The 16149-nt window shown below is 42.4% G+C and overlaps 1 long non-coding RNA gene across 1 annotated transcript in view, besides 2 other annotated features; it reads left to right on the top strand.

Annotated features, from left to right (window-relative positions):
* The window catches only part of LOC100507513 (uncharacterized), a 66589-nt gene that overhangs the window by 22536 nt on the left and 27904 nt on the right, over window positions 1–16149 (top strand). The gene's annotated exons all lie outside the window — the stretch shown is intronic.
* Window positions 3267–3768: an enhancer, noted in NCBI's record as "H3K4me1 hESC enhancer chr14:21378679-21379180 (GRCh37/hg19 assembly coordinates)". NCBI's record gives its function as "activates a minimal SCP1, AML or CMV promoter by ChIP-STARR-seq in primed H9 embryonic stem cells {active_cell/tissue: H9 hESC(primed)}" and the evidence as "EXISTENCE:reporter gene assay evidence [ECO:0000049][PMID:30033119]".
* Window positions 9417–9918: an enhancer, noted in NCBI's record as "NANOG hESC enhancer chr14:21372529-21373030 (GRCh37/hg19 assembly coordinates)". NCBI's record gives its function as "activates a minimal SCP1, AML or CMV promoter by ChIP-STARR-seq in naive H9 embryonic stem cells {active_cell/tissue: H9 hESC(naive)}" and the evidence as "EXISTENCE:reporter gene assay evidence [ECO:0000049][PMID:30033119]".

Genomic DNA, 16149 nt, shown 5'->3' with positions numbered 1-16149 from the left:
CTAAAATTCTCTTTTTTGGTTGTGTCTCTGCCTGGCTTTGGTATCAGGATGATGCTGGCCTCATAAAATGAGTTAGGGAGGATTCCCTCTTTTTCTGTTGATTGGAATAGTTTCAGAAGGAATTGTACCAGTTCCTCCTTGTACCTCTGGTAGAATTCGGCTGTGAATCCATCTGGTCCTGGACTCTTTTTGGTTGGTAAGCTATTGATTATTGCCACAATTTCAGAACCTGTTATTGGTCTATTCAGAGATTCAACTTTTTCCTGGTTTAGTCTTGGGAGAGTGTATGTGTCGAGGAATTTATCCATTTCTTCTAGATTTTCTAGTTTATTTGCGTAGAGGTGTTTGTAGTATTCTCTGATGGTAGTTTGTATTTCTGTGGGATTGGTGGTGATATCCCCTTTATCATTTTTTATTGCGTCTATTTGATTCTCTTTTTTTTTTCTTTATTAGTCTTGCTAGTGGTCTATCTATTTTGTTGATCCTTTCAAAAAACCAGCTCCTGGATTCATTAATTTTTTGAAGGGTTTTTTCTGTCAGAATTTCCTTCAATTCTGCTGATTTTAGTTATTTCTTGCCTTCTGCTAGCTTTTGAATGTGTTTGCTCTTGCTTTTCTAGTTCTTTTAATTGTGATGTTAGGGTGTCAATTTTGGATCTTTCCTGCTTTTTCTTGTGGGCATTTAGTGCTATCAATTTCCCTCTACACACTGCTTTGAATGTGTCCCAGAGATTCTGGTGTGTTGTGTCTTTGTTCTCATTGGTTTCAAAGAACATCTTTATTTCTGCCTTCATTTCGTTATGTACCCAGTAGTCATTCAGGAGCAGGTTGTTCAGTTTCCATGTAGTTGAGCAGTTTTGAGTGAATTTCTGAATCCTGAGTTCTAGTTTGATTGCACTGTGGTCTGAGAGACAGTTTGTTATAATTTCTGTTCTTTTACATTTGCTGAGGAGAGCTTTACTTCCAACTATGTGGTCAATTTTGGAATAGGTGTGGTGTGGTGCTGAAAAAAATGTATATTCTGTTGATTTGGGGTGGAGAGTTCTGTAGATGTCTATTAGGTCCACTTGGTGCAGAGCTGAGTTCAATTCCTGGGTATCATTGTTAACTTTCTGTCTCGTTGATCTGTCTAGTGTTGACAGTGGTGTGTTAAAGTCTCCCATTATTATTGTGTGGGAGTCTAAGTCTCTTTGTAGGTCACTCAGGACTTGCTTTATGAATCTGGGTGCTCCTGTATTGGGTGCATATATATTTAGGATAGTTAGCTCTTCTTGTTGAATTGATCCTTTTCCCATTATGTAATGGCCTTCTTTGTCTCTTTTGATCTTTGTTGGTTTAAAGTCTGTTTTATCAGAGACTAGGATTGCAACCCCTTCCTTTTTTTGTTTTCCGTTGGCTTGGTAGATCTTCCTCCATCCTTTTATTTTGAGCTTATGTGTGTGTGTGCACATGAGATGGGTTTCCTGAATACAGCACACTGATGGGTCTTGACTCTTTATCCAATTTGCCAGTCTGCATCTTTTAATTGGAGCATTTAGTCCATTGACATTTAAAGTTAATATTGTTATGTGTGAATTTGATCCTGTCATTATGATGTTAGCTGGTAATTTTGCTCATTAGTTGATGTAGTTTCTTCCTAGTCTCGATGGTCTTTACATTTTGGCATGATTTTGCAGTGGCTGGTACCGGTTGTGCCTTTCCATGTTTAGTGCTTCCTTCAGGAGCTCATTTAGGGCAGGTCTGGTGGTGACAAAATCTCTCAGCATTTACTTGTCCGTAAAGTATTTTATTTCTCCTTCACTTATGAAGTTTAGTTTGGCTGGATATGAAATTCTGGGTTGAAAATTTTTTTCTTTAAGAATGTTGAATATTGGCCCCCACTCTCTTCTGGCTTGTAGAGTTTCTGCTGAGAGATCCGCTGTTAGTCTGATGGGCTTCCCTTTGTGGGTAACCCGACCTTTCTCTCTAGCTGCCCTTAACATTTTTTCCTTCATTTCAACTTTGGTGAATCTGACAATTATGTGTCTTGGAGTTGCTCTTCTCGAGCAGTATCTTTGTGGTGTTCTCTGTATTTCCTGAATCTGAATGTTGGCCTGCCTTGCTAGATTGGGGAAGTTCTCCTGGATAATATCCTGCAGAGTGTTTTCCAACTTGGTTGCATTCTCCCCGTCACTTTCAGATACACCAATCAGACGTAGATTTGGTCTTTTCACATAGTCCCATATTTCTTGGAGGCTTTGTTCATTTCTTTTTATTCTTTTTTCTCTAAACTTCCCTTCTCACTTCATTTCATTCATTTCATCTTCCATCACTGATACCCTTTCTTCCAGTTGATTGCTTCGGCTCCTGAGGCTTCTGCATTCTTCACGTAGTTCTCGAGCCTTGGCTTTCAGCTCCATCAGCTCCTTTAAGCACTTCTCTGTATTGGTTATTCTAGCTATACATTCATCTAAATTTTTTTCAAAGTTTTCAACTTCTTTGCCTTTGGTTTGTATTTCCTCCTGTAGCTCGGAGTAGTTTGATCATCTGAAGACTTCTTCTCTCAACTCGTCAATGTCATTCTCCGTCCAGCTTTGTTCCATTGCTGGTGAGGAACTGCATTCCTTTGGAGGAGGAGAGGCGCTCTGCTTTTTAGAGTTTCCAGTTTTTCTGCTCTGTTTTTTCCCCATCTTTTTCGTTTTATCTACTTTTGGTCTTTGATAATGGTGACGTACAGATGGGTTTTTGGTGTGGATGTCCTTTCTGTTTGTTAGTTTTCCTTCTAACAGACAGGACCCTCAGCTGCAGGTCTGTTGGAGTTTGCTAGAGGTCCCCTCCAGACCCTGTTTTCCTGGGTATCAGCAGTGGTGTCTGCAGAACAGCAGATTTTCATGAACCGCGAATGCTGCTGTATGATCATTCCTCTGGAAGTTTTGTCTCAGAGGAGTACCCGGCCATGTGAGGTGTCAGTCTGCCCCTACTGGGGGGTGCCTCCCAGTTAGGCTGCTCAGGGGTCAGGAGTCAGGGACCCACTTGAGGAGGCAGTCTGCCCGTTCTCAGATCTCCAGCTGTGTGCTGGGAGAACCACTGCTCTCTTCAAAGCTGTCAGACGGGGACATTTAAGTCTGCAGAGGTTACCGCTGTCTTTTTGTTTGTCTGTGCCTTGCCCCCAGAGGTGGAGCCTACAGAGGCAGGCAGGCCTCCTTGACCTGTGGTGGGCTCCACCCAGTTCGAGCTTCCTGGCTGCTTTGTTTACCTAAGCAAGCCTGGGCAATGGCGGGCGCCAGTGCCCCAGCCTCGCTGCTGCCTTGCAGTTTGATCTCAGACTGCTGTGCTAGCAATCATCGAGACTCTGTGGGCACGTAGGACCCTCCGAGCCGTGTGCAGGATATAATCTCCTGGTGCGCCATTTCCTAAGCCCTTCGGAAAAGCACAGTATTTGGGTGGGAGTGACCCGATTTTCCAGGTGCCGTCTGTCACCCCTTTCCTTGACCAGGAAAGGGAACTCCCTGACCCCTTGCACTTCCCTAGTGAGGCAATGCATCGCCTTGCTTCGGCTTGCGCACTGGGCACTGCACCCACTGTCCTGTCCCCACTGTCTGGCACTCCCTAGTGAGATGAACCCGGTACCTCAGATGGTAATGCAGAAATCGCCCATCTTCTGTGTCGCTTACGCTGGGAGCTGCAGACCGGAGCTGTTCCTATTCGGCCCCCACGATTTTGTCTTTAACACACCTGGGCTCTTTATTTTATTAGTATAAGTTGTCTTGCAGCCTAATTTAATGACACATTTTCAGACCTGATCCACACTTCCACTGAGAGGAATAGTTGGAATTATGTCCCAGTATTAAGTCTTTTTTTGGGAAACTGATGAACATTTTAAAATATTGTCCCAGACAAAGAATTCTGCATTTATGGTAAAAACCACTGTTGAGTACACTGCATTGATCAATGTCTTTTTTGCATAGCATTTATGTGCAAAAATATAGTGTTCAATGCTTGCAATTTCTTCAGCCCCAGGGTACCCTTGCAATATTTGCTCTTAACCTGCTGACAGGGAGGTACCACACCATCAATACCTTCCTGCACACAGATTTCCCTAATGCAGCAGTGGTTATCTATGGGAAAGACAATGCACACTATTTATTAGGTTGGTGCAAAAGTAATTGAGATTTTTGCCTTTAAAAGTAACACAAGATTTCCATAATAATATGGTGCAGGTTAATTAAATTGTAGCAAATGAAGTAATATTTAACTTACCTAAGTTCTAAAGATATTTGGTGTACTGAGCTCTTCCTGGTCTCTTGAACCTCAGAAAGGTGGCCCTAGGCCTTCCTTCTTGCGTGGGGCCTCCTGCATGTCTCCTCTGAAAGCCATTGAATAAGTAGATCTGACATCTTTGATCAAGTTTCTGGCATGAAAGAGGAAAGAACTAAGGCTTTCTTCTTTCTCCTCAACTATAAAGTCCTCTCCCTCTCTGGAAAGGGAAGAAATGGAAATAGAGCTCAGATGGAATTATGGAGAGGTGTGTCTTAGAAGAGATGAAATAAAGTGTGTTTCCGAATAAATTGGAAAGTTGCGTTCATGTACCACTGCATGTTTTTAGAATATTTCTCTTCTCTTCTCTTCTCCTCTCCTCTCCACACCCCTCCCCTCCCCTACCCTACCCTCCCTCCCTCCATCCCTCCCTTCTTTCTTTCTTTCTTTCTTTCTTTCTTTCTTTCTTTCTTTCTTTCTTTCTTTCTTATTTCTTTCCTTCTTTTTTTCTTTGAGATGGAGTCTCACCCAGGCTGGAGTGCAGTGGTGAGATCTCAGCTCACTGCAACCTCCACCTCCCAGGCTCAAGCAATTCTCCTTCCTCAGCCTCCCGAGTAGCTGGGATTACAGGTGCACGTCACCATGCCCAGCTAATTTTTGTATTTTTAGTAAAGACAGGGTTTCACCATGTTGACCAGGCTGGTCTTGAACTCCTGACCTCTGATGATCCGCACACCTCAGCCAGGCATGAGCCACTGCCCCTGGCCTTATTTCTTTTTATTGATACATAAGAGAGGTACATATTTTCAGGGTACATGTGATAATTTAATACAGTCATATAATGTGTAAAGATTATATCAGGGAAATTGGGATATCCATTACCTTAAATATTTGACTTTTCTTTACTTTAGAAACATTCGAATTTTGGTCTTCAAGCTATTTTGAAGTGTACAGTAGATTATCATTAACTATAGCCATCCTCCTGTTCTATCAAACCCCAGGTCTTATTTCTTATATCACTTCTTATATTTATACTCATTAATCAACCTCTCTTCATCCTCATTGCATTTTGAGCACATAGATGCATTTGCTGAGATTTCAGGGCTTATAGGAAATGAATTATTATATAGGTTAGTGTCTCTGTAAATGCAGTTATTATATAAGTTTTGTGTCACAGTGATGTCAGGTGTAGATTTTGTATAGTCTTGTCCAGATACCAGCTCTGACTTTTTCTATTTGACACTCTTACTATAACAGTAGTCCAGGGCCAAGCGTGGTGGCTCAAGCCTGTAATCCCAGCACTTTGGGAGGCCTAGACAGAGGGATCACTTCAGGCGAGTACCTCGAAACCAGCCTGCCCAACATGATGAAACCCCATCTCTACCAAAAACACAAAAATTAGTCAGGCATGGTGACTTGCACCTGTAATCCCAGCTACTCAGGAGGCTGAGGTAGGAGGATCTCTTGAACCCAGGAGTCAGAGGCTGCAGTGAGCTGATATCATTCCCCTGCCCTCCAGCCTGGGAGACAGAGCAACACTCTGTCTCTTAAAAAAAACAAACAAATAAAAAAAAGTTGCACGGTTATTCGTCCTCTCTATGCCTCTGTTTTATAATCTGTAAAAAACAACAACACATACATTGGTTTGTAGGAGAAATTTAATGTGGTAATTTGTGTGTGTGTGTGTATGAAATAACAAAATATGTAGCATAAAACATTGCAAAAAGAAAAAGAAATCTTGATAAGGATGATCAGTCTTATGCATCAAGGTGTTAATGTAGTATCCATTACTGCACTATCCTCTCTGTGGTATTTACAATAAGACAGTATGCTTGTTTCTTTTCCTTACTCCTCAAAGTGAAGGCATAAGAAATAGAACTCAGGGTTTTATCTCTTTTTGACCAAGTGCTGCTTAGGTGGACAAGTCATTTTGATAGGACCGCTGTTTCTCAGGGACCCTTCCCAATCTGAGATAGAATAAATCACCTTTTAACATCTTGCATTTACTTGTGAAGTCAGAACAAAGGGAAATAGATTATCATAAAAATTATATTTTCCATCAATTTGGTGCTAAATTTGAGGAACTGTCTTAGCAAATAATTAGAGCATTTTCATGATAAAAATATAGTTCCTGCATGATTTAGTCTCTTTTTTGTACAGAATTTGATGAATTTAGCCAAATCATTCACCTTGAGCTTCATTTTTTTCCTACTGTCCTTGGATCCTTTATTCTTCTGTGAAAATATTTTTCAAGGTAGAATTGTTTAATTTATAGCTCTACATGAAACTGAACACAAAATTAGTCCTCTAATCTAGCTCTCAGGGGCTTGAAATTATCACATAGTCTTTGTGCTAGTGTTTTATCTTGCTCCATTAAATAACAGTTCTAAATAACAAGACCTCACATCTTCTCTACAATAAAATCGATTATAGGCATGTTTTTTTGCATAGTTTAAAAATAATGATGTAATTGTATATAATAATTTTGTTTCAGAGAATTATGCTTTTTTCTGCCTAAATTAATAATGATTTAGGAAAATCAGATTTACATAGACAGATGATGCACAGATGTCAACCAAATTTCCTTTACATCTTTTCCTACACACACACACACACACACACACACACACTCACACACACAAACACACACACAGGCATACACCCATACCTATGCTCCAGAGTATCAGATTTCTAAATAGTCTGAGCTGTAAGGCACTCCTAAAGACATTTATACCACACCCCTCACTTTCCAGCTGAGGAAGAGTAATGGTAGAGTCATCTGTTAAGCACACTAAACAAATTGATAGAACTGAATGTTAGAAAATATCTTTTTGCGGCCAGGCATGGTGGCTCACGCCTGTAATCTCAGCACTTTGGGAGGCCGAGATAGGTGGATCACTCGAAGTCAAGAGTTCGAGACCAGCCTGGCCAACATATTGAAACCCTGTCTCTACAAAAATTAGCTGGGCATGATGTGGGGCAACTATAATCCCAGCTACTCAGGAGACTGAGACATGAGAATCGCTTGAATCTGGGAAGTGGAGGTTGCAGTGAGCCGAGATCACGTCAGTGCACTCCAGCCTGGGTGAGAAGACAAGACTCAGTCTCAAAAAAAAAAAAAAAAAAAAAAAAAAAAAAAAAAGAAAAGAAAAGAAAAGAAAAGAAAAAGAAAAGAAAAGAGAGTGATATGGAGATGAATGAAGGATGATGTGGTGAAGTGAGTTGCTCAGATGGGTCCTTACAGGAGCAAAGAGAGATGGAGACAAATGTGAGAAGTACTGAGGTCTGGGATATGGTTAAAAGGAGAACAATATCTCCGGGCATTGAGACACAGAAACCCTACTCTCCTTTGCCTTATTCCCTCCACTGAGATGAAAACGTGACTCACATGTGGACCCTCTTCCTGTTCACCTCCTGGTAAGATTGTCTTTCCTTAGACCCAGAAATTTGGATACCTCTTCAATGAATTGCCCAGACTCTTCCACCCCATCAGCAGTGGTCATGAGGGAAGGTTTGCACTTGGAGTAAGACATTTCTCCCCTGACAGTGTTAACTTTCCATGCTCAGCAGCATTTGACAGAGTTGATTTCTCCCTGCTCCTTGATGAAGCTGACCTGAGAATGATCTTCTTGTGACAGAAACAGAATGAAAAGTCTGGTGAGATCAGGCCTGGTGCCCTCAAGGCAGACAGTCTTGTCAAGGATGTGTGCTGAGTTACAACACCCCACCCTTTCCTGATCATTTCTTCTAAGTCCCTGGACTCATGTTCTCAGTCTGCTTCATTAATTCTTCCCCTTTCTCTCCAGCATCTTGATGGTGGAGGTTCCTAGGGGTTAGCTATTCTTTCTTTTCTATGGACTCATGCACTCTCTTCATGATCATATCTAATCTCATGGCTTTTGTTGGGGCTCAGCACACTATACTCCAAAGGATGGTACTTTGGCATGCTAAACTATTTTTTTTTTTTGAGACGGAGCCTCACTCTGTCGCCCAGGTAGAGGACCATAGGTGACTAGACAGAAAATTCAGCCATCATAAATACAGTCTAAATGTTGAAGAACAGATTTCTGAGTCTACCATAACTTTCCTGCACTCCAGGACTTTAGTGTTGAACTTGCCACATTCAGATTCACACTGTAGCACCTTGCGTAAGAAGGAAAGGAAGTGAATATGCACAGAGGATCTACTTGTGTTATGAGCTTTACAGTTTAGCTGCAGTGGAAAAGAGTTTATTTCTTTCTTGGAAGTGAGGGCCTCACTCAAGGCCCTAGAGCTCTACAAGGCCCTAGAGCAGGTGGCAATACCAGCCAGGCTTGTGTCCTTCCCTTCAGGGTGATGAGTTCCTCTAGGCCCAGGCATGTCCAGAGGTACTGTCTGAGAGCCAGGGACTGAAGTAAACAACCTGGGAGGTTTACATGGTGTTCTGTTTTACTGTGGCTGAGCTGGAGTCCTTCCACTCTTCCCTTACTCTTCCACAGGCAGAGGAGCCTCTCCCTGCAGCTACCTCCACCGCAGGCTCAAGGGGAATACTGACAGGATGATGCCAGTGTTCCCATAAGGCCCCAGAGTTCTTTAGCCAGCTTGTGGTGAATGCTGCCTGGCCTGGGACTCACCCTTCAGGGCAGTAGGCTCCCCTCTGACCCAGGGCATGTCCAGAAATGCCAACCAAAAGCCAAGATCTGGAACTGGGGACTCCAAGAGCTGGCTTGGTGCTCTACCCCGCTGTAGCTAAGCTGCTGTCTAAGCTGCAAGACAGAGTCCCCTTTATTTTCCCTCTGCTTTTCTCAAGCAGAAGGATTCTCTCTTCATGACTACCACAGCTGTGAATATGGTGGGTCTCTCCTGAAGCCAGCATATCTCAGAGTCTCACCCAAGGCCCATGGAGTGTACTACTAGGTATTGCTGCTGGTTATTTAGGGCCTGAGGGTTCTTCAGTCAGCAGGTGATGAATCCTGGCAGGACTGGGTCCTTTCCTTCTAGGCAGTGGGTTTTCTTCTGGTGCAGGGTGTGTCTAGAAATGTCCTTCAGGAGCGAGTGCCTGGAATGGTGGCTTCATGACTCTGACTGGTGCCCTATCCTATTGTGGCTGAACTGACATTTACGATGTAAGACAATGTCCTAGTTACTCTTTCCTCTCCTTTCCTCAAGCAGAAGGAAGCAGTCACTTTCACTGCTGTGAGCTGTGCTGCCTGGGGTTGGAGGAGTGGTTGTGCAAGCACTCCCTTAGCTGCCCTGACAAGTGTCACACTAGTGGTGTCCAAGTCCACTGGCTCTGAGCCCAGCACAGCACTGGGACTTGCCTTGTAGTTGTAGTTCTTGTGGCCTAGATTGAGTTTCAAATGCATTTAGGACCCCAGAGCACTTTAGCCTGCTTTGGCAAGGCTTTCCCAAACTCACATACTGACTGCTTGGATAGGCGATTGATTCCCCTCTGGCTAAGGTTGGTCTGAATGCTCCCTCTGTGGGTGGGCTCTGACAGGGCAGCACTGAGTTCAATGCAGATTTTCACAATTGCTGCACTCTCCCTCCCCCATGCACTGAGTTTCTGTCTCAGCTCCAGTGGCAGCTACTGGGACATGGGGGAGTGGTGGCCTCAGTGATTCAAAATTGTCTTTCCTCATCTCTTCAGTGCCTTTTTCAGTGATACGAAGTTAAAATCAGGTACAATGATGGTTGACCTGATTTTTATTTCCTATGTAGGTCCTTTTTTGTGTGTAGATAGTTGTTAAATGTGGTGTTTCTGCTGGTATGTGTGGGGGTGAAATCAATGGATACTTCTATATGGCCATCCTCTTTTACCCCTTCCCCTTGATTCTTTGGCTATCTGAGGAGTTAATATCTCTTCATGTATTAACCCAAAAGAGTTTTTTAAGCATTTGCTCAGTGTCTTCTGAACCCAAGGGTTACAGCAATGAGACCAAGTCAATTCATACCCCATGATGAGCTTCAGTTAAGCCCTGTACAAATTCTCCCTACATATAAGTGAAGAGTGTTGCTATAGCCTGACAGGTCAGTTGTGTACACTTGGATATCAATAGGGTCAACTGAATAGAAGCCTCAAATCAAGACATAAATGCTGGATAATAGGTGTATGTAGCTAGAATCATCTCAGGAATAATGCAAATGGTATCGCTGCCTCCTGTGCTTCGGAATTTCCCTACGCCAAGATTACTTCCGATGCACATGAAGGCTTCTGAAGTCAATGTTTGGTAACAAATGGATCTCAAAGTTGGGCTGGAGATAGGTTGTTGGAAAACTACTTGAGGATGTGATTGGAAATGCAGAATCCTGAGCTCCATGTGCAGACATTCTGTGTGAGTATATCTGGAATGGAGCTCACGAATCCATAGTGCAAAACTTCCCCCATGTGATCCAAATGGAAAATACTTAATGTTTGAAGTTTTTTAGGTGTGCCACTTACATGCTGGCAGAGAACATTATGAATGAATTTGTGTATAATATTTGATTATATAGTTTATTATTATAGAAGATTGGCTATTAGTCATTAGGGATTAATTATGAATATCCCAGGGAGACAAAATTGATGAACTACGTGCTCATCTATATGTCTCTATATGTCTCTATATGTCACTGCTTACCCATAACTTCCTTTTAATATTTAAAGAATTTTGTCCTCTTGCTTTTTTATTTGGCTAGAGGCAGTTGGGGGCATGAGGAAAAATCCTTCCTGTTCCAGAAATACTGAGGAGTGAACTATTAGTTTTTTCACAAGTCAGCTAACCCAGATAGTCTGAAGAACACTAAATCCTAAGAATACTTAAGATAATCCCTCAGGCTTTTTTTTGCTAGTCTTTTGTCCTACCCAAATGCAAAGACAGTTTTGAAGGTCAGACCAAAATAGCTTCTTCACTAAAAATACAATTAGATATTACTATGGAGACTTACAGGAATAATGATCAAGCAGAAAAAACTATGTAAAGTTTTGTACATGGTGTAATTATATTTCATTTATTCAATTAATCCATTATTCAGAATACTCCCTTATAAGTAATCAAGTAACTCATATACATAAACCAAGTAAACCACATATATGCCTCTTTAAAACACACACACACACACACACACACACACACACACACACACACATTCATTCTTCATTGCAGACTCATAGATTGCAAAGTGTCTGAGATAGCCATTTTATTGAAGCCCATTTTTGGAGATGGGTAGCAGAATGTTAGGATGATTTGCTCAGATTCCACATCCAAATGGTAGGCCATCTGCATGAATCCCCCAGAGTTTTGCCCTGAGACTTTTATTGATACAGTCAAGATCATGTAATGGCCCTCTACCACAATCCTAAATATGGGTATGCACTATATTTTGAGAAGTGTGTGTGGTAGAAAAATTGTTCAAGGAAATTGCTGGATCTCAAGAGCTTTGATTATGGCTGAACATCCAGAGCTTTTGTCCTGTAGTGACATGACCTGGATATTTTACACACCTTTCCTGTAATAATGAGAGAATGGACTCGGAGGATTTCAATATCACAAAGCAGATCGGCTTTCAAAGCACAAGGTTCTTACGGTTCCTCAGCTAGCAGGTCTCACGCTCTGTCTCACTCTACGTGCTGACTTGGGATAGTCACACTCTTCCTCCAAAGTGAGAAGGGGAGGGACAGACACATGTAATACGGGCCAGTTTAGAGCCTCACTCTGTGACCAGGTGGCTGGACTGCAGAAGGAAGAGAGCAGGAGGTGGAGTGAGGGATAGCTCCATCACTCTCTGATTCCCAGCTGGGGGGTGAGGGGTGGCGAGCTGAGTGACCCTCAGCCTTCCAGGTCATCCAGTGCTGCCTTGTTATGGTTCTTTTAGTTTTACTTGATTACATCTCCTTTGTTTGAATGTTCTAGTAGTAGGGAGTCTGTGGTTAACAAATGTATACATCTCTACATATATAGATATATGCACATAAGTACGTGCATACATATGTAAGTGCATATATAGAATGCATATACATTCATATGGTGAAAATGTAAATTCAATAATTAAAAATGGTATCTAGTGAAAAGGATGTCTTCATTTACCTTTCTTTATGGAAGCTAGATTTGTATTCTAGGAAGAATAATTATTCAGTTTTTTAGTACCCTTTCTATAATGCATATGCTGAGTCTAAGCATATATGAATAATACGTATAAGGCTTTTTCTCATTTTCATAGATTTCTGTGTTAATTCCTCTTTTTTCCCTGTCAGACAGTAATATGCTATATATAGTGTTTACTGTGGACTGAATTATGTCCCTTAAAAATTCATATATTGAAGTCCTAACCCCCAGTGTCACTGTATTTGGAGGGAGGGCCTATAAGGATAAACTTAATGTTAAATGATGTCATAAAGGTGGAGCCTTGATTCAAGAGGATTAGTATCCTTATAAAAAGAGACACCACCAGCTGGGTTGGTGACTCTCACTTGTTATCCCAGCACTTTGGGCACCTGAGGCAGGAAGATCACTTGAGGCCAAGAGCTCAAGATCATTGTGGGCAACTGGGACAGTTTGGATATTTGCCCCATCCATATGTGATATTGGAATATAATTCCCAGTGTTGGAGGCAGGCTTGGTGGGAAGTGATTGGATCTTGGGGCTGGATTTCTCGTGAATCAGCGCCATTCCCTTGGTGCTGTTCTCCTGATAGTGAGTGAGTTCTCGTGAGATCTGGTTGTTCAAATTGTGGTACATTCCCCCTTGCTCTCTTGCCCCAGCACCTGCCATGTCAGACCCCTGTTCCCCCTGTGCCTTCCACCATGATTGGAAGCTTCCTGAAGCCTCCCCAGAAGCAAAAACTGCTATGCTTTCTGTAAATTCTGCAGAACTGAGAGCTAATTTAACCTCTTTTCTTTATAAATTACCCGGTTTCAGGTGTTTCTTTGTAACAATGTGAGAAAGAACTAATACAGGGGCAAACTTCTCATGAATGGTTTAGCACCAAATCCTTGGTGCTGTCCTGGAGAAAATGAGTGAGTTCTTCTGAGACTGGTCATTTAAAAGTTGTGATACCTCCCCCTACGACTTCCAACTCTCTCTTGCTCTTGCTTTCCCCATATGAAGTGCCTGTTGCTGCTTCATCTTCTGCGACGATTATAAGCTTCCTGAGGCCTTCCTAGAAGCTGATACCAGGGCTATACTTCCTGAGCATCGTACAGAGCCATGAGCCAATTAAACTTCTTTTCTTTATAAGTTACCCAATCTCAGGAATTTTTTCATTGCAATGAAAGAGCAGCCTAATACAGCAATATAGCAAGATGCCATCTCTACAAAACAAAACAAAAAACAAAAAACAAACAAACAAAAAAACAAGAGACACACCAGAGAGCTTACTCCTTCCTTGCCTATGTGAGGACACAGTGGTGGGGGAACAACTGTCAGCAAGCCAGGAAGGGAGACCTCACTGCAAATTGAACCTGCCAGAACCTTCATCTTGAACTTCCCAGTGTCCAGAGCTGTGATTGTGATATTGTGATTTATAATGAGAAATGCAACTGCTGGGCATGGTGGCTGCAGCCTATAATCCCAGCTACTTGGAAGACTGAGGCGGAAGGATGGCTTGAACCCAGGAGGTGGGGGCTAAAGTGACCTATGATGGCACCACTGCACTCTGGCCTGGGTGACCGAGTGAAATCCCATCTCTAAAAAAATATAAAGCATATATTTAATGTTCCTGCCTGTTTCCTGACTCAGAGCCCCTAAAACTCTTAAAATTTCTGAATAAGTGTCTAATTTCTGAATAAGTGCCTCATGAAGTACGTTAATGAGACGAGTGGCACCTGCGTAGCATTAGGATGGGGGCTGGTTGCCAGCAGACTCTAGCAAGTGATTAGAGGGTTAGAACATCCATTCCCACCCTAGCTAACCCCCTGGAAAGGGGATTGAAGGTTAAATTGATCAGCAGTGGCGAATAATTTCATCAGTCATGCCAACGTAATGACACCTCCATAAACCCCAAAAGGAGAGAGAGAGACTTTGGTAAGTTTCCGGATTTGGTGAATGATATGGTTTGGCTCTGTGTCCCCACCCAAATCTCATGTCAAATTGTAATTACTAATGTTGGGGGAGGGAACTGGTGGGAGGTAATTGCATCATGGGGGCAGATTTCCCCCTACTATACAATTTCTTGTTATAGTGAGTGAGTTCTCATGAGATCTCATTGTTTAAAAGTGTATAGCTCTTCCCCCTTCACTCTCTCCTGCTGCTATGTGAAGGTGTGCTTGCTTTCCCATCACCCTTCTGCCATGATTATAAGTTTCCTGAGGCCCCCCAGCCATGCTTCCTGTGCAGCCTGCAGAACTGTGAGTCAATTAAACTTCTTTCTTCATAAATTATTTCGTCTCAAGTAGTTTTCTATTTTTTCTTTGAGATGGAGTTATGCTCTTTTTGCCCAGGCTGGAGTGCAATGACATGATCTTGGCTCACTGCAACCTCTGCCTCCTGGGTTCAAGTGATTCTCCTGCCTCAGCACCCCCAAGTAACTGGGATTACAGGTGTGTGCCACCACTCCCAGCTAATTTTGTATTTTTAATAGAGACAGGGTTTCACCATGTTGGCAAGGCTGGGCTTGAACTTCTAACCTTATGAATTGTCCACCTCAGCCTCCCAATGTGCCGGGATTACAGGCATGAGCACCATGCCCAGCCCTAGGTAGTTCTTTATAGCAGTGTTACAACAGATCAATACAGTACACAAGAACATATCCCTGTGCTGGGAGGGTGGCACACCCCAACTCCACAGGGACAGAAGATTCTGCACTTAGGACCCTTCCAAGCCTTGCCCCATTATCTCCCTGTGTGTACATTTAGTATACCTTTATGATAGATGTGTAAACCTAAGTAAAGTGTTTCCCTGGGCTCTGTGAGCCATTCTAGCAAATGATCAAACTGAGGAGGAAGTCACGGGATCCTCCAAACTATAGTTCATTGGTCAAAAGCACAGATAATGATCTGCTTCTTGATACTGATAGTCTTGTGGGACGGAGCCCTTAACCTGTGGGGTCTGCATTCACTCCAGTTAGTGTCACAATCGAATTGAATTGTAGGATACGCAGCTGGAATCAGTTCCTGTAAGAAAGCACCCTCCCGTATTTGGTGGCCGGAAGTGTGAGTGTGAGTATGGAGGAGAAGAGCTGATGTTTCCTCGACTGGGAGAAAGAAATTTCTGTTGTTTCGGCTACTCATTTGTGGTATTTTGTTATAGCAGCCTGAGCAGATTACTACAGTGGCCTACAGCATTCCTCTTTCTCATTAACAATATATTTTGGTAATATTCCATGCCAGTAGCAAGGGATCAACCGTACTTTTTTGCATTAAAAAAATGCTGTATAACAGCCATAAAAAAGGATGAGTTCATGTCCTTTGTAGGGACATGGATGAAACTGGAAACCATCATTCTCAGCAAACTATCCCAAGGACAAAAAACCAAACACCGCATGTTCTCACTCATAGGTGGGAATTGAACAATAAGAACACTTGAACACAGGAAGGGGAACATCACCACCGGGGGCCTGTCGTGGGCTGGCGGGAGAGGGGAGGGATAGCATTAGGAGATATACCTAATGTAAATGTCGAGTTAATGAGTGCAGCACACCAATATGGCGCATGTATGCATATGTAACAAACCTGCACGTTGTGCACATGTACCCTAGAAATTAAAGTATAATTTTAAAAGAATGCTGCATAAAATTCCATTGTAAAGATATACAATCCAATTTAACCAGTTCAGCAGGATATATTATTTGTTTCTAAATGTACTATTTTAAACAATTCTGAACTGTATATTCCGAATGAAAGACCAACACCGAACCCCATATATTTGCTATTGCATTGTGGTTAACAAGTCACGCATGTCCTATCCATGTTCCTAGGAACTGCTGTACTGAAGCTCCTGCACATCTGTGAAGTGTGGAA

This window comes from Homo sapiens, chromosome 14, assembly GCF_000001405.40.
Source record: "Homo sapiens chromosome 14, GRCh38.p14 Primary Assembly".
Lineage (NCBI taxonomy): Eukaryota > Metazoa > Chordata > Mammalia > Primates > Hominidae > Homo > Homo sapiens.
This window is presented reverse-complemented; position numbering and strand designations above follow the sequence as displayed.